General features: G+C 36.7%; 1 protein-coding gene across 15 annotated transcripts in view, besides 1 other annotated feature; it reads right to left on the reverse strand.

Moving 5' to 3' along the window:
- The window catches only part of PDE4D (phosphodiesterase 4D), a 1,553,091-nt gene that overhangs the window by 1,075,661 nt on the left and 450,191 nt on the right, over positions 1-27,239 (reverse strand). The window lies entirely within an intron of this gene.
- Positions 4,757-5,257: an enhancer, noted in NCBI's record as "H3K4me1 hESC enhancer chr5:59345282-59345782 (GRCh37/hg19 assembly coordinates)". NCBI's record gives its function as "activates a minimal SCP1, AML or CMV promoter by ChIP-STARR-seq in primed H9 embryonic stem cells {active_cell/tissue: H9 hESC(primed)}" and the evidence as "EXISTENCE:reporter gene assay evidence [ECO:0000049][PMID:30033119]".

Below are 27,239 nucleotides of genomic sequence, written 5' to 3' on the forward strand. Positions count from 1 at the left end.
ATGTTTTATGGCCGCATAGTATTGCATGGTGTATATGTGCCACATTTTCTTAATCCAGTCTATCATTGATGGACATTTGGGTTGGTTCCAAGTCTTTGCTATTGTGAATAATGCCACAATAAACATACGTGTGCATGTGTCTTTATAGCAGCATGATTTATAGTCCTTTGGGTATATACCCAGTAATGGCATGGCTGGGTCAAATGGTATTTCTAGTTCTAGATCCCTGAGGAATCGCCACACTGACTTCCACAATGGTTGAACTAGTTTACAGTCCCACCAACAGTGTGAAAGTGTTCCTATTTATCCACATCCTCTCCAGCACCTGTTGTTTCCTGACTTTTTAATGATCACCATTCTAACTGGTGTGAGATGGTATCTCATTGTGGTTTTGATTTGCATTTCTCTGATGGCCAGTGATGGTGAGCATTTTTTCATGTGTTTTTTGGCTGCATAAATGTCATCTTTTGAGAAGTGTCTGTTCATGTCCACCCACTTTTTGATGGGGTTGTTTGTTTTTTTCTTGTAAATTTGTTTGAGTTCATTGTAGATTCTGGATATTAGCCCTTTGTCAGATGAGTAGGTTGTGAAAATTTTCTCCCATTTTGTAGGTTGCCTGTTCACTCTGATGGTAGTTTCTTTTGCTGTGCAGAAGCTCTTTAGTTTAATTAGATCCTATTTGTCAATTTTGGCTTTGGTTGCCATGGCTTTTGGTGTTTTAGACATGAAGTCCTTGCCCATGCCTATGTCCTGAATGGTAAAGCCTAGGTTTTCTCCTAGGGTTTTTATGGTTTTAGGTCTAACATTTAAGTCTTTAATCCATCTTGAATTGATTTTTGTATAAGGTGTAAGGAAGGGATCCAGTTTCAGCTTTCTACATATGGCTAGCCAGTTTTCCCAGCACCATTTATTAAATAGGGAATCCTCTCCCCATTGCTTGTTTTTCTCAGGTTTGACAAAGATCAGATAGTTGTAGATATGCAGCATTATTTCTGAGGGCTCTGTTCTGTTCCATTGATCTATATGTCTGTTTTGGTACCAGTACCATGCTGTTTTCATTACTGTAGCCTTGTAGTATAGTTTGAAGTCAAGTAGTGTGATGCCTCCAGCTTTGTTCTTTTGGCTTAGGATTGACTTGGTGATGCGGGCTCTTTTATGGTTCCATATGAGCTTTAAAGTAGTTTTTTTTCCAATTCTGTGAAGAAAGTCATTGGTAGCTTGATGGGGATGGCACTGAATCTTTAAATTACCTTGGGCAGTATGGCCATTTTCACGATATTGATTCTTCCTACCCATGAGCATGGAATATTCTTCCATTTGTTTGTATCCTCTTTTATTTCCTTGAGCAGTGGTTTGTAGTTCTCCTTGAAGAGGTCCTTCACATCCCTTGTTAAGTTGGATTCCTAGGTATTTTATTCTCTTTGAAGCAATTGTGAATGGTAGTTCACTCATGATTTGGCTCTCTGTTTGTCTGTTGTTGGTGTATAAGAACGCTTGTGATTTTTGTACATTGATTTTGTATCCTGAGAATTTGCTGAAGTTGCTTATCAGCTTAAGGAGATTTTGGGCTGAGACAATGGGGTTTTCTAGATATACAATCATGTCGTCTGCAAACAGGGACAATTTGACTTCCTCTTTTCCTAATTGAATACCCTTTATTTCCTTCTCCTGCCTAATTGCTCTGGTCAGAACTTCCAACACTATGTTGAATAGGAGGGGTGAGAGAAGGCATCCCTGTCTTGTGCCAGTTTTCAAAGGGAATGCTTCCAGTTTTTGCCCATTCAGTATGATATTGGCTGTGGGTTTGTCATAGATAGCTCTTATTATTTTGAAATACATCCCATCAATACCTAATTTATTGAGAGTTTTTAGCATGAAGCATTGTTGAATTTTGTCAAAGGCCTTTTCTGCATCTATTGAGATAATCATGTGGTTTTTGTCTTTGGTTCTGTTTATATGCTGGATTACATTTATTGATTTGCGTATATTGAACCAGCCTTGCATCCCAGGGATGAGGCCCACTTGATCATGGTGGATAAGCTTTTTGATGTGCTGCTGGATTTGGTTTGCCAGTATTTTATTGAGGATTTTTGCATCAATGTTCATCAAGGATATTGGTCTAAAATTCTCTTTTTTGGTTGTGTCTCTGCCTGGCTTTGGTATCAGGATGATGCTGGCCTCATCAAATGAGTTAGGGAGGATTCCCTCTTTTTCTATTGATTGGAATAGTTTCAGAAGGAATGGTACCAGCTCCTCCTTGTACCTCTGGTAGAATTCGGCTGTGAATCCATCTGGTCCTGGACTCTTTTTGGTTGGTAAGCTATTAATTATTGCCTCAATTTCAGAGCCTGTTATTGGTCTATTCAGAGATTCAACTTCTTCCTGGTTTAGTCTTGGGAGAGTGTGTGTGTCCAGGAATTTATCCATTTCTTCTAGATTTTCTAGTTTATTTGCGTAGAGGTGTTTGTAGTATTCTCTGATGGTAGTTTGTATTTCTGTCGGATTGGTGGTGATATCCCCTTTATCATTTTTTATTGCGTCTATTTGATTCTTCTCTCTTTTTTTCTTTATTAGTCTTGCTAGCGGTTTATCAATTTTGTTGATCCTTTCAAAAAACCAGCTCCTGGATTCATTAATTTTTTGAAGGGTTTTTTGTGTCACTATTTCCTTCAGTTCTGCTCTGATTTTAGTTATTTCTTGCCTTCTGCTAGCTTTTGAATGTGTTTGCTCTTGCTTTTCTAGTTCTTTTAATTGTGATGTTAGGGTGTCCATTTTAGATCTTTCCTGCTTTCTCTTGTGGGCATTTAGTGCTATAAATTTCCCTCTACACACTGCTTTGAATGCGTCCCAGAGATTCTGGTATGCTGTGTCTTTGTTCTCATTGGTTTCAAAGAACATCTTAATTTCTGCCTTCATTTCGTTATGTACCCAGTAGTCATTCAGGAGCAGGTTGTTCAGTTTCCATGTAGTTGAGCGGTTTTGAATGAGATTCTTAATCCTGAGTTCTAGTTTGATTGCACTGTGGTCTGAGAGATAGTTTGTTATAATTTCTGTTTTACATTTGCTGAGGAGAGCTTTACTTCCAAGTATGTGGTCAATTTTGGAATAGGTGTGGTGTGGTGCTGAAAAAAATGTATATTCTGTTGATTTGGGGTGGAGAGTTCTGTAGATGTCTATTAGGTCTGCTTGGTGCAGAGCTGAGTTCAATTCCAGGGTATCCTTGTTGACTTTGTGTCTCGTTGCTCTGTCTAATGTTGACAGTGGGGTGTTAAAGTCTCCCATTATTAATGTGTGGGAGTCTAAGTCTCTTTGTAGGTCTCTCAGGACTTGCTTTATGCATCTGGGTGCTCCTGTATTGGGTGCATATATATTTAGGATAGTTAGCTCTTCTTGTTGAATTGATCCCTTTACCATTATGTAATGGCCTTCTTTGTCTCTTTTGATCTTTGTTGGTTTAAAGTCTGTTTTATCAGAGACTAGGATTGCAACCCCTGCCTTTTTTTGTTTTCCATTTGCTTGGTAGATCTTCCTCCATCCTTTTATTTTGAGCCTATGTGTGTCTCTGCACGTGAGATGGTTTTCCTGATTACAGCACACTGATGGGTCTTGACTCTGTATCCAATTTGCCAGTCTGTGTCTTTTAATTGGAGCATTTAGTCCATTTACATTTAAAGTTAATATTGTTATGTGTGAATTTGGTCCTGTCATTACGATGTTAGCTGGCTATTTTGCTCGTTAATCGATGCAGTTTCTTCCTAGTCTCGATGGTCTTTACATTTTGGCATGATTTTGCAGTGGCTGGTACCATTTGTTCCTCTCCATGTTTAGTGCTTCCTTCAGGAGCTCTTTTAGGGCATGCCTGGTGGTGACAAAATCTCTCAGCATTTGCTTGTCTGTAAAGGATTTTATTTCTCCTTCACTTATGAAGCTTAGTTTGGCTGGATATGAAATTCTGGGTTGAAAATTCTTTTCTTTAAGAATGTTGAATATTGGCCCCCACTCTCTTCTGGCTTGTAGAGTTTCTGCTGAGAGATCCGCTGTTAGTCTGATGGGCTTCCCTTTGAGGGTAACCCGACCTTTCTCTCTGGCTGCCCTTAACATTTTTTCCTTCATTTCAACTTTGGTGAATCTGACAATTATGTGTCTTGGAGTTGCTCTTCTCGAGGAGTATCTTTTTGGCATTCTCTGTATTTCCTGAATCTGAATTTTGGCCTGCCTTGCTACATTGGGGAAGTTCTCCTGGATAATATCCTGCAGAGTGTTTTCCAACTTGGTCCCATTCTCCCCGTCACTTTCAGGTACACCAATCAGACATAGATTTGGTCTTTTCACATAGTCCCATATTTCTTGGAGGGTTTGCCCGTTTCTTTTTATTCTTTTTTCTCTAAACTTCCCTTCTCACTTCATTTCATTCATTTCATCTTCCATCGCTGATACCTTTTCTTCCAGTTGATTGCATCAGCTCCTGAGGCTTCTGCATTCTTCATGTAGTTCTCGAGCCTTGGTTTTCAGCTCCATCAGCTCCTTTAAGCACTTCTCTGTATTGGTTATTCTAGTTATACATTCTTCTCAATTTTTTTCAAAGTTTTCAACTTCTTTACCTTTGGTTTGAATGTCCTCCAGTACCTCAGCGTAATTTGATTGTCTGAAGCCTTCTTCTCTCAGCTCATCAAAGTCATTCTCCATCCAGCTCTGTTCCGTTGCTGGTGAGGAACTGCGTTCCTTTGGACGAGGAGAGGCACTCTGCTTTTTAGAGTTTCCAGTTTTTCTGCTCTGTTTTTTCCCCATTTTTGTGGTTTTATCTACTATTGGTCTTTGATGATGGTGATGTACAGATGGGTTTTTGGTGTGGATGTCCTTTCTGTTTGTTAGTTTTCCTTCTAACAGACAGGACCCTCAGCTGCAGGTCTGTTGGAGTACCCAGCCGTGTGAGGTGTCAGTCTGCCCCTGCTGGGAGGTGCCTCCCAGTTAGGCTGCTCAGGGGTCAGGGGTCAGGGACCCATCTGAGGAGGCAGTCTGCCCGTTCTCAGATCTCCAGCTGCATGCTGGGAGAACCACTGCTCTCTTCAAAGCTGTCAGACAAGGACATTTAAGTCTGCAGAGGTCACTGCTGTCTTTTTGTTTGTCTGTGCCCTGCCCCCAGAGGTGGAGCCTACAGAGGCAGGCAGGCCTCCTTGAGCTGTGGTGGGCTCCACCCAGTTTGAGCTTCCTGGCTGCTTTGTTTACGTAAGCAAGCCTGGGCAATGGTGGGCGCCCCTCCCCCAGCCTCGCTGCCACCTTGCAGTTTGATCTCAGACTGCTGTGCTAGCAATCAGCGAGACTCTGTTGGCGTAGGACCCTCCAAGCCAGGTGCAGGATATAATCTCCTGGTGCCGTTTTTTAAGGCCGTCAGAAAAGCGCAGTATTCAGGTGGGAGTGACCCAATTTTCCCGGTGCTGTCTGTCACCCCTTTCTTTGACTAGGAAAGGGAACTCCCTGACCCCTTGTGCTTCCCGAGTGAGGCAATGCCTCACCCTGCTTCGGCTCGCGCATGGTGCATGCACCCACTGACCTGCGCCCACTGTCTGGCACTCCCTAGTGAGATGAACCCAGTACCTCAGATGGAAATGCAGAAATCACCCGTCTTCTGTGACGCTCTCACTGGGAGTTGTAGACCAGAGCTGTTCCTATTCGGCCATCTTGGCTCCTCCCCCAGGAAAAGAATTTTCAACCCAGAATTTCATATCCAGCCAAACTAAGCTTCAAACGTGAAGGAGAAATAAAATCCTTTACAGACAACCCAATCCTGAGAGATTTTGTCACCACCAGGCCTGCCTTACAAGAGCTCCTGAAGAAAGCACTAAATTTGGAAAGGAACAACCGGTAACAGCCACTGCAAAAACATACCAAACTGTAAAGACCATCAACACTATGAAGAAACTGCATCAACTAATGGGCAAAATAACCAGCTAGCATCATAATGACAGGATCAAATTCACACATAACAATATTAACTTTAAATGTAAATGGGATAAATGCCCCAATTAAAAGACACAGACTGGCAAATTGGATAAAGAGGCAAGATCCATTGTTGTGCTGTATTCAGGAGACCAATCTCACGTGCAACAACACACATAGGCTCAAAACAAAGGGGTGGAGGAATATTTACCAAGCAAATGGAAAGCAAATAAAAAAGCAGAGGTTGCCATCCTAATTTCTGATAAAACAGACTTTAAACCAACAAAGATCAAAAAAAGACAAAGAAGGGCATTACATAATGGTAAAGGGATCAATGCAACAAGAAGAGCTAACTATCCTAAATATATTTGTACCCAATACAGGAGTACTCAGATTCATAAAGCAAGTTTGTAGAGAACTACAAAGAGACTTTTAGACTCCCACACAATAATATTGGGAGACTTTAACACCCCACTGTCAATATTAGACACATCATTGAGACAGAAAATTAACAAGGATATTCAGGACTTGATCTCAGCTCTGGACCAAGCAGACTTAATAGGCATCTACAGGACTCTCCACCCAAAATCAACAGAATATACATTCTTCTTAGCACCTTGTCACACTGATTCTAAAATTGACCACATAATTGGAAGTAAAACACTCCTCAGCAAATGCAAAAGAACAGAAATCATAACAAACAGTCTCTCAGACCACAGTGCAAATTAGAACTCAGGATTAAGAAACTCACTCAAAACCACACAACTACATGGAAACTGAATAACCTGCTCCTGAATGACTACTGGGTAAATAATGAAATTAAGGTAGAAATAAATAAGTTCTTTGAAACCAGTGAGAACAAAGATACAATGTACCAGAATCTCTAGGACACAGCTAAAGTACTGTTTACAGGGAAATTTATAGGACCAAATGCCCACAGGAGAAAGCAGGAATGATCTAAAATCGACACCCTAACGTCACAATTAAAAGAACTAAAGAAGCAAGAGCAAACAAATTCAAAAGCTAACAGAAGACAAGAAACAACTAAGACCAGAGCAGAATTGAAGGAGATACAGACATGAAAAACCCTTCAAAAAATCAATGAATCCAGGAGCTGTTTTTTTTTAAAAAAGATTAACAAAATAGATAGACCACTAGCCAGACTAATAAAGAAGAAAAGAGAGAAGAATCAAATAGACACAATAAAAAATGATAAAGGGGATATCACCACTGATCCCGCAGAAATACAAATTACTATCAGAGTATACTATGAACAGCTCTATGCAAATAAACTAGAAAATCTAGAAGAAATGGATAAATTCCTGGACACATACACCCTTTCAAGACTAAATCAGGAAGAAATTGAATCCCTAAATAGACCAATACAAAGTTCTGAATTGAGGCAGTAATTAATAGCTTACCAATCATAAAAGGCCCAGGACCAGACAGATTCACAACTGAATTCTACCAGAGGTACAAAGAGGAGCTGGTACCATTCCTTCTGAAACTACTCCAATCAATAGAAAAAGAGGGAGTCCTCCCTAACTCATTTTATGAAGCCAGTATCATCCTGAAGCCAAAGCCTGGCAGAGACACAACAACGAAAAAATTTCAGGCCGATATCCCTGATGAATATCTATGCAAAAATCTTCAATAAAATACTGGCAAACAGAATCCAGCAGCACATCAAAAAGCTTACGCACCATGATCAGGTCAGCTTCATCCCTGGGATACAAGGCTGGTTCAACATATGCAAATCATTAAACATAACCCATCACATAAACAGAACCAATGACAAAAACCTCATGATTATCTCAATAGATGCAGAAAAGGCCTTTGATAAAATTCAACACCCCTTCATGCTAAAAACTCTCAATACACTAGGTATTGATGAAACATATCTCAAAATAGTAAGAGCTATTTATGACAAACCCACAGCCAATATCATACCAAATGGGCAAAAGCTGGACGCATTCTCTTTGAAAACAGGCACAAGACAAGGATGTCCTCTCTCACCACTCCTATTCAACACAGTATTGGAAGTTCTGGCCAGGGCAATCAGGCAAGAGAACGAAATAAAGGATATTCAGATAGAAAGAGAGGAAGTCAAATTGTCTCTGTTTGCAGATGACATGATCATATATTTAGAAAACCCCATTGTCTCAGGCCCAAATCTCCTTAAGCTGATAAGCAACTTCAGCAAAGTCTCAGGATACAAAATCAATGTGTGAAAATCACAAACATTCCTATACATCAGTAATAGACAAACAGAGAGCCAAATCATGAGCAAACTCCCATTTACAATTGCTACAAAGAGAATAAAATACCTAGGAATACAACTTACAAAGGATGTGAAGGACCTCTTCAAGGAGAACTACAAACCACTGCTCAAGGAAATAAGAGAGGACAAAAACAAATGGAAAAACATTCCATGCTCACTGATAAAAAGAATCAGTATCATGAAAATGCCCATACTACCCAAAGTAATTTATAGATTCAATGCTATCCCCATCAAGCTACCACTGACTTTCTTCACAGAATTAGAAAAAAGCTACTTTAAATTTCATACAGAACCAAAAAAGAGCCCACATTGCCAAGACAATCCTAAGCAAAAAGAACAAAGCTGGAGGCATCATGCTACCTGACTTCAAACTATACTGCAAGGCTACAGTAACCAAAACAGCATGGTACTGGTACCAAAACAGATATATAGACAAATGGAACAGAATGTAGACCTCAGAAATAATGCCACACATCTAAAAACATCTGATCTTTGACAAACCTGACAAAAACAAGCAATGGGGAAAGGATTCCCTATTTAATAAATGGTGTTGGGGAAACTGGCTAACCATATGCAGGAAACTGAAACTGGACCCCTTCCTTACAACTTATACAAAAATTAACTCAAGATGGATTAAAGACTTAAACATAAGACCTAAAACCATAAAAACCCTAGAAGAAAACCTAGGCAATACTATTATGGACATAGGCCTGGCCAAAGACTTCATGACTAAAACACCAAAAGCAATGGCCACAGAAGCCAAAATTGACAAATGGAATCTAATCAAAGAGCTTCTTCACAGCTGAAGAAACTATCATCAGAGTGAACAGGCAAACTACAGAATAGGGAACATTTTTGCCATCTATCCATCTGACAAAGGTCTAACATCTAGAATCTACAAGGAACTTACACAAATTTATAAGAAAAAAACAAAGAAACCCATCAAAAAGTGGGCGAAGGATATGAACAGACACTTCTCAAAAGAAGACTTTTATGCGGCCAACAAACATATAAACAAAGCTCATTACCACTGGTCATTAGACAAATGCAAATCAAAACCACAATGAGATACCATCTCATGCCAGTTAGAATGGTGATAATTAAAATGTCTGGAAACAACAGATGCTGGAGAGGACGTGGAGAAAAAGGAATGCTTTTACACTGTTGGTGGGAGTGTAAATTAGTTCAACCATTGTGGAAGATAGTGTGGCAATTCCTCAAGGATCTAGAACCAGATACACCATTTGACCCAGCAATCCCATTACCGGATATATACCCAAAGAAATATAAATCATTCTACTGTAAAGACACATGCACATGTATGTTTATTGCAGAACTGTTTACAGTGCAAAGACTTGGAACCAACCCAAACGCCCATCAACGATAGACTGGATTAAGAAAATGTGGCATACATACCATGGAATACTATGCAGCCATAAAAAGGATGAGTTCATGTCCTTTGCAGGGACATGGATGAAGCTGGAAACCATCATTCTCAGCAAGCTAACACAGGAACAGAAAACCAAACACCGCATGTTCTCACTCATAAGTGGGATTTGAACAATGAGAACACATGGACACAGGGAGGGGAACATCACACACCAGGGCCTGTCGGTGGGTGGAGACTAGGGGAGGGATAGCATTAGGAGAAATACCTAATGTAGATGATGGGTTGATTGGTGTGGCAAACCACCAAGGTATGTTTATACCTATGTAGCAAACCTGCACATTCTACACATGTATCCCAGAAATTAAAGTATAATAAAAAAAAATAAGTTAATTATAAACTAAAGGATAGTCATCAAGAGTTCATAAGCCTTTTAAAGTATTCTCTCCTAAATAAGCATATTTTATACTTTATCAAATGATGTTGTCTTTCCTAGGTATTTCTACCTGCAGAAAACAAACTAATAAACAAAACCAGACCAAAACTGTGGGAAGAAGAAAGCAGGCTGAATACAAAACATGTTGCATAGGAAATTCCAAGCTTTATCTCTAATTATAAAATGTCTAGAATACTGCAGGCAGCAAAAAGCAACTCAACGAATATAAAGAGATAACTACAGATGTGAAGTCATTATCAAAGACTAAGGAGAAGAAATAAAAAAAAGGTTCAATCATGTAGCCCATTACAAAGATCAATGGCATCAATAAACACTGCCTTATGTTCCAAGTTGCATATACATCAGCTTTCCCAGCAGCTAGGAGCCTTGGCAGCTCCGAGAGACCAGGGACCAGACAATATATCTTTTGATTTATCATGATTATTTATATGGTGTTATAGATTGCAAATATATATTAAATTTAATTAAATATCTGAAAAAAGATATAAAATCACAAAAACTAAAACCTTACAAAAGCTTCAAACTTCTAGCAACAATGGCACTTACATAGGAGTCTTAGCCAAGGAGCAAGGAAAGAAAGTAAGTGGGGTCAATGTCTCTTAGGTGTGCACACATCTCTGTGGTTAATTTCCTCATACCTTTCTTCAAAGCCCAAGATAAGTAAGTTATAAAATTTGTTTAGAACAATTGAGCCCATTCTCCTTTCCATTAGCATTAGATGGCTAAACTATACCAATAGCTTATTGTAATTGAAAGACTAAGCCTTCTACACAAAATGTATATATTGGAATAACCATAAATGTAATATATATATGAAAGTCGTGACTGCATACTATAAGATAGCAACACATGTGCTTTGTACTAAGCACTTTCATATATCTCACTTCATCCTCAACTCTGATTGAAACTTATCCAATAAGACATAAAAAATTGAAAAGTGAAGTTCAGTGACTCAATCCAAGGTCACTCAGTCAGTAAGTGGTAGAGAGGATTCAAAGCCAGGCAGTCTGACTTTAGAGCCTATGCTCTTAACCACTACCATATCCACTCTCTTTCATACTACAGGTTGGAGGAACCATGGAAAGAAAGTAGTAACACAAAGAAGCAAAATCAATTATAAGGAGGGATAAAGGGAAGGAAGAAAAGGCTTAACAAAGAAACCAAAAGGGAAAGGAGAAGCAAGGAAGGGAAGAAAGGAAAGAAAGACAAGATATAGGTACTAATAAAAGAAGGCAGTTGCATGAAGTTCTGTGTCCTTGCTGTATGATTTTCTCAGTGAAATTGTAGGAAAATGAGAAATCTTCATCTCCTCTCAGCATAAAACATTAAGTGCCATATCAAAATCTCATAAAAGAAAATACCAATATATGTATGAGTCACACTTCCACTTCTACTCCCCAAAATTGCCTGATTTCTTCATTGTAAGTAAGATATTGGGTCTCCCTTGAATGAACCCATCGCAGCATTTTCTATTTCAGTTCATAATACAGAAAATCGCTGCCTATATTAAACACCTTTTCCCAATGAGGCTGGCAGGCTGCACTGAGAATCAGAGGCACCAACCCCCAAACAAGTTTTCACTGAGACTCTGCTCAAATGTCTGTCATAATGTGAATGATGAAGGAAGACGGGAAGCAGCAGTAGCAGGACAATCTGTCAAAAAAAAAGCATAGCCAGCCACAGGGATCAGTGTTTTTATGCTAACTAGATTTCCCCGCAAATTTAAGTGGAAGAGAGACAGCAGAGGGTTTATTAGCATATATGTGGAGGGGAGGGAGGGGCTGTCAATGAGCTCTGGATGATCATACAGTTTCTTCCTGTTCTATGATTCCGTATATCTATAATTTCAAAGCACAATGATATATTTGCAAAGGGAAGTCAAGAGGCCCAAGTTCTGGGCTCTGCTCTCAGTCTTAAGCAACCTGTCTAATTTTTCTGGGCCTAGGTTTCCGTATCTTTAAAATACAGTGTCCTTTTTAGCTTTTATAATCTATGACTTTTTGATGACAACTACCTTTGATGATCACCATTTTGTACATAAAAGCCAGCACGTGCACAAGTATGCAAACACATACACACACAAACATGAGCTCTAATTTGATATTATTATGACTCTCTACCTCCAGGTAGAACTATAGCTATTTTATTCAAGATCAGTGTTTATGTAACCTAAAAATTTATTTGGATGACACATTTAATATCTTACTAGGAAACCTATTCCAACACCTATCAACAGAAACTTAAAGGAATTTTCCCACATATATAAACAATTGTTTTTGAATTGGTTTTTAAATCCTACATTAAGGCAAATAAAAGTCTTGAGTTCTTCTATTGGCTCAGGTATATAATTTCATGCCCACTTATATTTGATGAAACTAAAGTCTCTACACAGAATAAATTAGAAACTAGAGATATTTAGATGATGAAAGTAAAACTACATCAATCAGGATTATCAATGAAGATGCTAAGTAAATGAAAATAAAGATCAGTAACCAACACAGCAAGTAATCACAGTTGTGAAATTTGAGAAGCAACAATATACAAATGTTAGGATGTATTTATCTTTACATGCAGCCTTCTAGGTCATCTGCAATAAGGTATTTGAAGGTACATATGCCTGGAATTCAGTCATGAAAAAATAAAAAGAGTAATATCTGAACAAATATTTCTCCTATTTCAATACTCAGCTCCAGCCACACCTCCTCTCCAAAGTTTTTCCTCATTCAGTTTCTCCATTCCTCTTCAGTGCCTTCTGTCCCCAGCCCTGTAGAACTGTGTCTGTCTTGCACATAGAAAACTGTATTGCTCTTATTTTTTTATTTTGATGCTGGTCTCCCATTAGCTAGTGTTGAGTTTTTGAGGACAGTGAATATGTATTATTTGACTTGCACAATGCCTAGCACTCTGTAAATATCGAGATAAATAACTAATTTATGTAAATATAATACTGGATTCCTATCTGTAACATGCTGTTAATGTAGAGTATATTGAAATAAGATTTGGGTATAGGTACTTATGACCAAAGCCATTTTTCATTTGAAGAAAATAGAAGTTATATATTCCTGTCTCTAGATTAACAACATAGCATTACAACTGACTACAGTAATGTTAATGGAACAAAAAGCTTAACATCTGATATATATACCAAAGGTCTATAGTCCCCTAAAATTGTATAGAACATGTTTGGGAAAGTATGACTATTATTCTGGAAAGATAGATTCTCTAAATCTTCTGCTTTGTAGTTTATTGATTCTGGATGCTCTATGTTTAAGTGTGATAAATGGCAAGAAAATACTGATCCTCAGTCAAACCCAAGGAACAGCAAGGTACCCGAAATTGAGGTTTAAAGAACACTTTTTAAAATGGTGGGAATTTAAAGCCTCCTGAATATATAACTTAAGTTTTGAGCATTTTGAGCTATTTTGATTAATCTCACTCCTGTTTCTTCACTAAAACCCTTCCTGAGTATGATTAAAAACAGTGAAATAAATAGTGTGCTAAACTTTGAGCCTTCTTGATTTTGTTCTGAGTTTTTTGTTTTGTTTTGTTTCTTGCATTTGATCTGCTGACTTCATATGCTAAGAGATTACTATTCTGCAAGCAGTGACTGAAACCAAAATAATGAAAAGTGAAACAACATCTTCAGAGTTAAATAATAACATCCCCATAAGGATTATTTATAAATTACAAAATCTTACTCTTTTCCTTTTCAGTGTTAGCACTGTTATTATAAAATTGTCTATCCATATTTATAAAGATATAAATGAAAGTAATATCTCCAGAAAATGTAATCTCTACTTTTACCTTGTCTCCTGGGGAAGAGAAGATGAAATAAACTTAAAAGCTGCTAAAAGTATTTCTACATAAAGCTCTTTTATGGGATGGAACTGAGAGTTGTTTAAAAAATCATAAAAGTTAGAATATCCCCATAATCATGTACAAGTTTACCATTAAAATACAATAAAAAGACAGCTCATACTGCCAATCTCTTGTTGCCCTATAACATTTTGAGAAAAAATTAAAAGGCAGTATTGTCACTCATACGAGAGATACCGTATGAAAGCATCATAACATGAAAATCTTCCTCATTTTTTTAAAAATAAAATAAATCCCAAATCACAGTTATTCATTGTTTTAAAATTCTGAATAGTTATATTAATTTCAACCTTTATGTATATATTCAGAAAAATGATATCCATACCATTCTTTCTAGCTTCTTCAGGAAACTAGAAACATCAATGAAATTAGAAGTTCTATCTATCTTTTTTGGCATTGTCATATGTGTGTGTGTGTGTGTGTGTGTGTGTGTGTGTCTGTATTCAATAAACATGTTATTTCTCCATTCTGTATGATACAGTAATGGTGGATACATGATATAATGTAATTGGCAAAACCCAAAACACACTGGAGATTTTCCTGAGAACTAAGTTTTAAGCTGTTGGCACCAGAGAACACTGTTGGCAGCTGTCTGTGATCTTTCCACTTCCCAGTTTCTTGCATTCTAGTAGCAACTTCTCTAATCACCTAACTCCAAGTTCTCAGAATGACCATGTAACCTTTTAATTACCTGTATTACATAATATCTTGTGTGAACTACCTAGAATAGCATATATTTCCCTGATGAATCTGGTCATATGTATTTACAATCTTTCCCATCTTAGATGTCACTAAAGGGGAGAAAAGTACAAAACCCTAATGGTAGTAAGGAACTGAAAGAGAGTCATGAGAATACAAAATATGTCAACAGATGTATAGATGACAAAGCAGATAAAGAAGAGATAGCACATGAAATAGAGTCAACCACAGGTTAGATTATCTAGAAGGGATATAAATATGACAGACTGAGAGAGAGAAATTGCCTTTCCAGAAAGGCTAAGAATTCCAAAACACCACATGCAATGAAGACAGGAAAGGGTACAGGAGTGACATGGGGAACTGACAATTACAAGTATCTATGGGTAGAAATAGCCACTATCCAACCCTGCAGGAAAGAGGACACCCAGGAGACAGGCCTCTCCAGCTTAGAGAAATATTTGAGGATTCTTTATAACTTCACTAAAATAAAACCTTTCTAAATCAAAATAATAGCTCCAGACAAAAGACTTCCATCATCTGGCATGTTCTGATCCCCCCCAGGAAAACTGTTAATTCATAGCCCCATGACTCCAAAGCAAAGTGCAAGTCAGAGCCCAATCAGCTTTTCATTCCTTAAACTTGAATAAAATTATAATCATAGCTCATCAGGCATCTAAAGAAAGCTTGCTTTGAAAAAAGACAGTCCAAGATACACAAATAAAGATAAAATAACCCCAAGTGAAGATAATTTGGAGAAGAGAAGAAAATTCATAAATACTCTAATAATTATTCTATGAGAGATTTAAGAAAATCTTGATTTCCATCACAAAGTTCTCTCTCTCTTGCTCTATGTTTCTCCATCCCCCAGTAGATATGCCCACACTACTTTGATAAAATTCTTTTAAATTTGAAGAAGTTACTCTAAAAAGGGAATTTTTAAGTTAATTCAGTTATTTGATTTATCCTCTTCCATCTATTTAGAATTACAGCAGAGCTTTGTAAAAGCCAACATTTTGGTTATAAAGACACCTTTTTCTATCTGTTCCCATGTGTGGAGACTAAAGCAACTCCATCTTCATTGTCAGTCCACCATACTGACATCTGATTTACCCCAGTTCCAGGAATGCCTCTAAGATTTATACTTTACCTACTGTTACCATAAATTCTACCCTTTGTTCAAAACAGCCTCAACCATAAATCCTTCCCTTAGGCAGATTTACATAGCATGCTTGCCTTTCCCTGAGGAGTTGATTTCAACTGTCCTACATGTTCCTTCACTACAGCAAATAATTCCTAGGTCTGGGGCTAACACTGCAGTGAACCACCATCTCCTCTTGCAGCCACCTGGGACCTGGCTATTAAATGTTTTTTGTTTTTTCATTTTTCCTGAGAAGCTGGATATGTCAGCCTCTTCAGCCTCTCAGCTTCCTTGAACTTTGGGGGTAGGTTTGCATAGATCTATTCACTGCAGAACACCATGTAATCTTAGAATTTGGTAATTGGTATCTCGATAGATGCAGAAAAGACCTTCGAAAAAATTCAACATCCTTTCATGATAAAACTCTCAATAAACTAGATATTGATGGAACATTTCCCAAAGTAATAAGAGCTACTTCTGACAAACCCACAGCCAATATCATACTGAATGGCCAAAAGCGAGAAGCATTCCCTTTGAAAACTGGCCCAAGACAAGGATGCCCTCTCTCTCCACTCCTATTCAACATAGTATTGGATGTTCTGGCCAGGGCAATCAGGCAAGAGAAAGAAATAAAGCGTATTCAAATAGGAAAAGAGAAAGTCAAATTGTCTCTGTTTGCAGACAACTTGATCCTATATTTAGAAAACCCCATTGTCTCAGCCCCAAATCTCCTTAAGCTGATAAGCAACTTCAGCAAAGTCTCAGGATACAAAATCAGTGTGTGAAAATCACAAGCATTTCTTTACACTAACAATAGACAAGCAGAGAGCCAAATCATGAATGAACTCCCATTCACAATTGTTACAAAGAGAATAAAACACCTAGGAATACAGCTAACAAGGGACATGAAGGACCTCTTCAAGGAGAACTACAAACCACTGCTCAAGGAAATAAGAGAGGACACAAACAAATGGAAAAACATCCCATGCTCATGGATAGGAAGAATCAATATCATGAAAATGGCCATACAGCCCAAAGTAGTTTATAGATTAAGTGCTATTCTCATCAAACTACCATTGACTTTCTTCACAGAATTAGAAAAAAACTACTCTAAAATTCATATGGAGCCATAAAAGAGCCCGTATAGCCAAAACAATTCTAAGCAAAAAGAATAAAGCTGGAGGCATCACACTACCTGACTTCAAACTATACTGCAAGGCTACAGTAACCAAAACATGGTACAGGTATCAAAACAGACACATATACCAATGGAACAGAATAGAGACCTCAGATATAAGACCATCTGATCTTCAACAAACTTGACAAAAACAAGCAATGGGGAAAGGATTCCCTGTTTAATAAATGATGCTGGGAAAACTGGCTAGCTATATGCAGAAGACTGAAAGTGGACCCCTTCCTTACACCTTATACAAAAATCAACTCAAGATGGATTAAAGACTTAAATGTAAAACCCAAAACCATAAAAACCCTGGAAGAAAACCTAGGCAATCCCATTCACGACATAGGCATGGGCAAAGATTTTATGATGGAATCACCAAAAGCAATCACAACAAAAGCTAAAATTGACAAATGGGATCTAATTAAAGAGCTTCTGCACAGCAAAAGAAACTGTCATCAGAGTGAACAGGCAATCTACAGAATGGGAGAACATTTTTGCAATCTACCCATCTGACAAAGGGCTACCATCCATAATTTACAAGGAACTTAACCATATTTACAAGAAAAACACAAGAAAACCCATTAAAAAGTGGGCAAAAACATGAACAGACACTTCTCAAAAGAAGACATTCATGTGGGCAACAAACATATGAAAAAAAAGCACAACATCACTGATCATTAAAGAAATGCAAATCAAAACCACAATGAGATACCATCTCACACCAGTCAGAATGGCGCTTATTAAAAAGAAGTCATGAAACAACAGATGCTAGAGAGGCTGTGGAGAAAGAGGAACACTTTTTCATTGTTGGTGGGAATGTAAATTAGTTCAACCATTGTGGAAGACAGTGTGGCAACTCCTCAAGGATCTAGAACCAGAAATACCATTTGACCCAGCAATCCCATTACTGGATAAATACCTAGAGGAATATAAATAATTCTATTATAAAGACACGTGCATATGTATGTTTATTGCAGCATTATTTACAATAGCAAAGACATAGAACCAACCCAAATGCCCATCAATGATAGACTGGATAAAGAAAATGTGGTACATATACACCATAGAATACTATACAGCCACAAATAGGAATGAGTTCATGTCCTTTGCAGGGACATGGATGAAGCTGGAAGCCATCATTCACAGCAAACTAACACAGGATCAGAAAAGCAAACAGAAATCCATCTTACTCATAAGTGGGAGTTGAACAATGGGAACACATGGACACAGGGAGGGGAACAACACACACCAGGGCCTGTTGGGTCATGGGGGCACGAGGGGAGGGAGAGCATCAAGACAAATAGCTAATGCATGCAGGGCTTAAAACCCAGGTGATGGGTTGATAGGTGCAGCAAATCATCGTGACACACATATACTGTGTAAGAAACCTGCATGTTCTGTATATGTATCCCAAAACTTAAAGAAGAAAGAAAGAAAGAAAGAAGAAAGAAAGAAAGAAAGAAAGAAAGAAAGAAAGAAAGAAAGAAAGAAAGAAAGAAAGAAGGAAAGAAAGAAAGAAAAAGAGAAAGAAAAAGAAAGAAAGAATTTGGTAATTGGGGAGAAAGGAAGAACCTCAATACAGGAATATATTTATGTAAACATTAGGATCCACTCTTAGGTATAAAGTGATTCTTTCTTAACTTTATAAATATTTATTGAGCAAATGCTTTGTCTAATTGTGTCAAGTACAGAGAGGTTGGAAAAGGTGTGGGAAGTAGCATCAAGAAGGATGTTTGTCCATTTAACAGAGAAAGATTAGTAAAATATGAAACCAGCTTTGCAAAGATTATAACAATGAGAGAAGGCTAGCATGGCTGACTCCATCTTGCTTCTAGCCTCAGAGGGTGGCTTTCCTTGCTTGTTCCTGGGTGTAGGCCAACCTTGCCAAGGGAGAAATTTAGTTTATAGTTTGAAAGAGATGGAGATTGAGAATGAGATCGAAACAATGCTAAAATGGTTGTTATGAAAGCTCCCTTGAAAGCTATCTGGAAGAGTAAAAATGCTATATGTGAGGCACTTAGCACAAAGTCTAAAATATTTAAGTGCTAAATAAGTAAGTATAACTGATTTTAATAGATTATTTTTGATGGATAAAGAGGTAGGTAAGTGAGATTTGCATGGAGGTGATGGCTGGCATAATTTGGAACAATTAAGCCTGAGAATCTAGATAGTAATAAAAAGATTGAGGGTTTACAGAAGATACTGCCTTTGAGGAGCATGGATTTTGACAGATGACAGTGATACAGGTCAAAATGCATGTTTACTTTAGGGGTAGGATGGAGTAGGGGTCAGCCATAGATTGGCCCGAGGAGATGTGCCCATGACACAATTGTATACATTATGCATCTTTTGAACACAAAAGTCTTCCTGGAACTATGATACCTAAATGTTCACTATAGTTATCTGAGGACAAATTGATTTTAAGTAATTTTTTCTCTTTGCATCTTTCTTTAAAATCTTTTAAATAATAATCACATATAATTTTCATAATCAGATAAAAATAATAAATCTATTTCCATTTTTTAAAAGTTTTTATCCATAAAAGTTAATACTTACGGAGGGTTTACTGTGTACCAAAGAATGCTCGAAATAATTTAACAATATTTATTCATTTTATATTTGAAACAAAACTATAAGGTAAGTTTTATTGTGCATATTTTATGAATGAGGAAAATGAGAACAAAGAATAGGTTAAATACATTGCTTAAGGTCATATGGCTAGTAAGGAGAACACCCAGTATTTGAAGGTGTCTAGCATCTTATGCCTTTTTGTATAACTACATCTCATACTCAGAGCTCTCGTTGTGCTGTTTTCAATTAGAAAAAAATCCACACAGCATTAATGATAGGTGCAGGCAGCACTACTTTGCAATCTTCTTATTTTGCACCCTTCCACTTATAAAATGTAATATTTTCTGATTAAAAACTTCAAGCTTGTTCATTTGACTGACACTATCAGCATAAAGCCACATGAACAGCTAGAAATATGCCATTCAAAAACTGTTGAGATGCGGTCTCCTAAACAAGTTGCATGTGAAATCAAGTCCCTCTTGTATTATTTCTCCATCTCCTCTTAGATTAAATCAATGGATACCTCATCACCTTTCCTCAAAGGGCCATTTCAAAACCCTTCAGTTATATTGGCATCTCTGCTCCCAGTATAAATGTCAGGCCATATCGGGGTTAGATAATGAAATGTGAAGCCATCTATTTGCTTGATTTTTCAAGGGCATTTGGTGAGAACTGCTGTTCTATACACCTTATCCATCACCCTATTACTGCCTTGACTGCAAAAGAGTAGGAACTGCAAGTAATTCTTAATTCTTTTGCCTCTAGGCAAAGCCTATGCTGTAATGTAGGACAGAAAAGAAATACAATAGTGAATAATTCCTAACAAACCTTCAATACACACATTGCATTGCTATTCTTGGGTCTTTTTGGTTTCCTTTTGTGCTCAACTCAAAAGGATTCAGAAAAGCAGATTTTGAGTATAAGCCTTTTCTTCCAAGAAGCTCTTAATTCTGCTATTAAGAAATCGGATATGCAAGATAGAATCTATGTTTAATCAGATTCCTTAGTAGCTAGGCTATTGCAAATATAGTGCAAGTGTGTGTGTCGTGTGTGTGTGTGTGTGTGTGTGTTTGTGCACGCATGCATCAGGGCTATGATCTATTATTTATTTTATGTATAAAATTTATGTTTTACATGCACATTCTATATTACATCTTATTGTGATTATTTGTGTGAGTAGGTTACATGACCTTAAACTAGTTACCAATTTATTATCATTATTATTATTATACTCTAAGTTTTAGGGTACATGTGTACAATGTGCAGGTTAGTTACATATGTATACATGTGCCATGCTGGTATGCTGTACCCATTAACTCATCATTTAGCATTAGGTATATCTCCTAATGCTATCCCTCCCCGCTCCCCCGACCCCACAACAGTCCCCAGAGTGTGATGTTCCCCTTCCTGTGTCCATGTGTTCTCATTGTTCAATTCCCACCTATGAGTGAGAATATGCGTGTTTGCTTTTTTGTCCTTGCGATAGCTTGCTCAGAATGATGGTTTCGTTTCATCCATGTCCCTACAAAGGACATGAACTCATCATGTTTTATGGCTGCGTAGTATTCCATGGTGTATATGTGCCACATTTTCTTAATCCAGTCTATCGTTGTTGGACATTTACATTGGTTCCAAGTCTTTGCTATTGTGAATAGTGCAGCTATAAACATACGTGTGCGTGTGTCTTTATAGCAGCATGATTTATAATCCTTTGGGTATATACCCAGTAATGGGATGGCAGGGTCAAATGGTATTTCTAGTTCTAGATCCCTGAGGAATCACCACACTGACTTCCACAATGGTTGAACTAGTTTATAGTCCCACCAACAGTGTAAAAGTGTTCCTATTTCTCCACATCCTCTCCAGCACCTGTTGTTTCCTGACTTTTTAATGATCGCCATTCTAACTGGTGTGAGATGGTATCTCATTGTGGTTTTGATTTGCATTTCTCTGACGGCCAGTGATGATGAGCATTTTTTCATGTGTTTTTTGGCTGCATAAATGTCTTCTTTTGAGAAGTGTCTGTTCATATCCTTCGCCCACTTTTTGATGGGGTTGTTTGTTTTTTTCTTGTAAATTTGTTTGAGTTCATTGTAGATTCTACCAATTTTTTTAAATACTGTATTTCCCTATACACAATATATTTTTGCTTGATAGTATTTAGTACATGGAGATGTTTTTGAACAATCTTTTGATAAGATAGTAGACTTTTTACAACCAACTCAGTTCATTGCAACAAGGTACACTATTGACCTAGAAAGTGAAATGAAATAATCAATTTGGGGTCTAGAATTACTTAATTCAACTAATCTTATCATTATCAACTCTGTTGCATTTTGTAGTGTGCAGCTCCTTCCTAAAGCAAATTATCATCATCATCATCATCATCATCATCATCATCATCTCAGGAAAATGACCAAGAAAATCTGAACTGAAACAACAGTTTTTCTCTTTGATGCTTTTATTAGATGAGTCATCTCATTCGTAAGCATTACCCTGGCTTAGTCTACATAATTTAAATTCCTTCTTTTAACTAATCTCATTTGTTTCCATATATGCCGATGTGCATTGTTTTCTCCTGAGACATAGTGAAAAGGAAAACTGTTGTGCTTTTATCTATTCATATGTTTTTTCTATAATCCAGCAGGAAGCTCAATACAGCATTTTACTGTCACACAATTATGTGGTCATCTGTCACCATCTATAAGTTTTTCAGAGAAACTGCTCTACTTCTACTTCTCTGAAATTTCTCACACTACTTCAATGATTATTAACAATACAATAATAAAATACGAAAGAAAGTTCAAAAACAAGCAATAGAAAGATAGCATCTCTGTCCTCTCTGGACACAGCTAAATTTTCTCCTCTGATGTTTGATATATTCATTCATATATGTCTACATTTCACTTATTCATTTTCCTCAAGTCTCCTAAACCTAGAAAATATCCTGAGCAGTTCTATATCTTTCATTGTTAATCCCAGTAATTTGTCCTCTCCCCTAAAGTTTGGCATGTGATCTGTAATGTAAATTGATATGGTAGATGAGAACAGTAGGAAGAAAGATTGGACTGGCCCAGACACACCTTTGCAAATATAAACTAGAACTGAAAGAGATAGAGGAAAGCTCAGTCTATGTTCTTGAATATCAGGAAGGAAGATGAATTAAAGGGAGTTTCCCTTTAATTTCCTTATAAATTGCTCTATGTCTCAAAATAATAAATGAACTGTTACCTATAAATGTAAGAACATGCCCCAAATTTAGAAATTCTAATTGAGTTTAAGAAAAGAAAGGAAAATTATAATACCACTGTCTTTTTATTTTAAAAAATTGTGCTAAAAACATTAAACACAAAACTACTTTCTTAACAAATGCATATGTGTACAATACATTATTGTTGACTATAGGTACAATGTTGTATAACAGATCCCTAGAACTTATTCATCTTTCTTGACTGAAACTTTACGCCCATTGTTTAGTAACTCCCCATTTCTCTCTACCTTCTCTCTACCTCCACCCACTGGTAACCACAATCCAACTCTTTGATTCTATGAATTTGACTATTTTAGATAACTCATATAAGTGGAATCATGCAATATGTGTCTTTCTATGACTCATGTATTTCACTTAGCACAATGTCTTTAAGTTTCATCCATGTTGTTGTCACATACGGCAATAGTTCCTGCTTTTTTAAGGCTGAATAATAGTCCACTATTTATATACCATATTTTCTCATCTATTCATCTGTCAATAGACACTTAAGTTGTTTCTAAATCTTAACTATTGTGAATAATCCTACAATGAATATAGGAGTGCTAATACATCTTTGAGATCCTGATTTCAATTCTTTTGAATAAACACCCCAAAGTGGGATTGCTGGATCATGTAATTGCATTTTTAAATGTTTAGAGGAACTTCATTTGTTTCCCACAAAAGCTGCACCATATTGCATTTCCACCAACAGTGTGCAAGGGTTCCAATTTCTGTACATCCTCGTCAACACTTGCTATTTTCTGTTTTTTTTAACAGTAGCCATTCTACTATAGTAGGTGTTAAGTGATATTTCATTATAGTTTTAATTCACATTTCCTGGATGATTAGTGACACTGAGTATTTCTTAAAATATCTGTTGGCCATTTGTATGTCTTCTTTGAAGAAATGTCTATCCAAGTCCATAGCCCATGTTTAAATCAGGTTATTTATTTATTTATTTATTTTTCTCTCTCTTTTATTTTAACTAATAACCTGAAGGGGTTTATTTTAGATATTTTGGATACTAACCCTTTATCAGATATACGGTTTGCAAATATTCCCCCCATTCTGTAAGTGTCCTTTTCACTCTGTTGATTCATATCATTATTTTATTAATTATTATTATTACTATTATTTGCAATAGGGTCTGGATCTGTCACTCAGGCTGGAGTACAGTGGCCCAATTTCAGCTCACTGCAACCTCTGGCACCTCCCAGGTGCAAGCAATCCTCCTACCTCAGCCTCCCAAGTGGCTGGTACTACAGGTGTGAGCCTACCATATCCAGCTAATTTTTTCTTTAATTTTTTGTAGAGACAAGGTTTCACTATGTTGCCCAGGCTGGCCTCGAACTCCTGAGCTCAAACAATTCACCCACAAGCTTTTTAGTTTGATGTATTCTTATTTGTTTACTTTTGTTTTTGTTGCCTGTGCTTTTGATGTCATATCCATGAAACCATTGCCAAGACCAATGTCATGAAGGTTTTCTTCTAGTAGTTTTATAGTCTTGGTCTATGTTTAATCTTTAAGCCATTTCAAGTTGATTTTTGCATATGATGTAAGACAAGCATCCAGTTTCATTCCTTAATATGGATATCCAGTTTTCCAAGTACCATTTGTTGAAGAGACTCTCCAATCTCTATGTGTATTCTTGACACCTTTATCAAACGTCAGTTGACTGTTGCTATAGACTGAATGTTGGTGTCACCCAAAATCCATATGTTGAATCTTTGTCTCCCTAAATCTATATGTTGAATGGCATTAGGAGACGGGGACTTACAGAGATGATTAGGTCATAAAAGTGGAGACTTCATGAATAAAAGACATCTGAGAGGAATGCTTCACCTTTCCACCATGTGAGACACAGTGAGAAGGCACTAACTATGAGGAAGCAGTCCATCAGTACCTGTGCCTCAATTTTGGAATTCCAAACTTCTGGAACTGTGAGAAATATATTTCTGTTGTTATAAGCTACCCAGTTTATGGTATTTTATTATAGTAGCCCGAATAGAATAAAACAACCAAGTATGCATAGATTTATTTCTGGATTCTCTTATGTTCCATTGGTCTATATGTCTGTTTTAATGCCAGTATCATATTGTTTTGATCTCTGTGGTTTTGCAACATATCTAGAGATCAGGAAATGTGATGTCTCTAGCTTTATTCTTTTTTTCAAGATTGATTTGGTTATTTCTTGACTCATGGCTCCATATAAATTTTAGAGCTTTTTTTCACTTTCTGTAAAAAATGACATTGAGATTTGGATAGGGATTGCATTGAATCTGTAGATTTCTTTTGGTAGTATGGATATTTTAACAATGTTAAGTCTTCTAGTTCATGAACATTCAATGTCTTTTGATTTGCTTAGTATCTTTCATCAATGTTTTGTAGTTTTTAATACACAAATCTTTCACCTTGTTAGTTAGGTTTAGGTGTATTACTAAATTATTTTATTCTTTTTGGCACTAGTTTAGATGGGCATTGTTTTCTTAATTTCCTTTCAGATAGTTTGTTGTTAGTGTATAGAAATGCAACTGATTCTGGTATGTTGATTTTGTACTCTGTAATTTCACTAAATTCATTTGTTAGTTCTAACAGTTTCTTAATTGAATCTTCAGAGTTTTCTCTATATATAGGATCATGTTACCTGCAAACAGGGAAAATTTTATTTCTTCCTTCCCAATTTAAATGCCTTTTTACTTTTTTTCTTACCCAATTGCTCTAGATAGGGCTTCAAGTATCCTGCTGAATAGAAGCAGTGAAAGTGGGCATCCTTGTCTTGTTTCTAATCTTAGAGGAAAAGCCTTCATTCGGTTTTTCACCATTGAGTATGACGTTAGTGATGGGCATTTAATATATGGCTTTTATTATGTTGAGGTATATAATATTTGTATTTGTATTTGACATAATCTATTACTAGTTTGAGTTTTTAATTAAAAGATGTTAAATTTTGTCAAACCCTTTTTCTGCATCTTGAGATGATCACATGTTTTTATGCTTTATTTTGTTAATGTGGAATTTCACGTTAATTTTTACACACTGAACCATTCTAACATCCCAAGTACAAATCCCATTTGGTCATGGTGTATAATCCCCTTAATGTGCTCTTGGATTCAGTTTGCTGGGGTTTAGTAGAGGAATTTGTATGTTCATTCTTCAGGGATATTGGCCTATAGTTTTGTTTTCTTGTGGTGCTTTTGTCTGACTTTAGTATCAGAGTAATGAATTTGGACATGTTCCCTCTCCCCTTCAATTTTTTTGAAAAGTTTTAGAAGAAATGGTATAAATTTTTCTTTAAACGTTTGTTAGAATTTCACCAGTGAAGCCACCTGGTACTGGGCTTTTCCTTCCTGGGAGCTTTGTAATAACTATTTCAATATCTATACTAGTTATAGGTCTGTTCGGACTTTCTGCTTCCTCAGAATCCAGTCTCGGTTGATTGTATGTTTCTAGGAATTTATTCATTTCTTCTAGCTTATCCAGTTTGTTGGCACATAATTGTTCATAGTTATCTCTTTTGATTCTTTCTTATTTTGTGGCATCATTTGTGATTTCTCTTCTTTCATTTCTGATTTTTTTATTTGAGGCATCGCTCTTTTTTTGCTAGTTAGTTTACTTAAGGTTTTACCAATTTAGTTTATATTTATAAAAAACCAGTAAAACCAATTCCTAGTTGTCTTATTTTTTTCTATTATTTTTGAATTTTCCGTTTCATGTATTTCTGCTCAAATCTTTGTTAATTCCCTCTTTCTGCCTAATTTGGCCTTAGTCTGTTGTTATTGTTCTACTTCCTTGAGATGTAGTATTAAATTGTTTAAGATTTTTTTCTTTTAAATTTTAATTTCTTTAGCAAATGGGATGCATTCTTTAATTGGTGCACACAGCCATCTAAAAGAATAAAGAATCAAAGATTGCCACATTAAAAGCTGCCAAATTAAATTAAGACTTAATTTGCCTTCTGTAAGGAAGTCTTTTTCACTAATATTATTAAAAGTCTTTTTCACAAATATTATTCAAAAATCTTAAAAGTCTTTTTCACAAATATTATTCAAAAGATTTAGCCATCTGGGCAAAAAATCTTTTTCCATTGGCCAGTAAAACAATTTGGATCCAGATATTAAAAAGACATTTATTTTAGGTTCAGAGATACATGTGCAAGTTTGTTATATAAGTAAGCTTGTGTCATGGGAGTTTGTTGTACAGATTATTTTGTCACCCAGTTGCTAAGCCTAGTTTCCATCTTTGTGTCCATGTCTTCTCATCATTTAGCTCCCACTTATAAGTTAGAAAATGCAGTATTTCATTTTCTGTTCCTGCATTAGTTTGCTAAAGATAACAGCCTCCAGCTCTATCCATGTTCCCGCAAAGGACACGATCTCATTCCTTTTTATGGCTGCATAGTATGCCATGGAGTATATGTGCCACAATTTATTTACTCAGTTTACCATTGATAGGCATTTAGATT

This window comes from Homo sapiens, chromosome 5 (assembly GCF_000001405.40).
Source record: "Homo sapiens chromosome 5, GRCh38.p14 Primary Assembly".
NCBI lineage: Eukaryota > Metazoa > Chordata > Mammalia > Primates > Hominidae > Homo > Homo sapiens.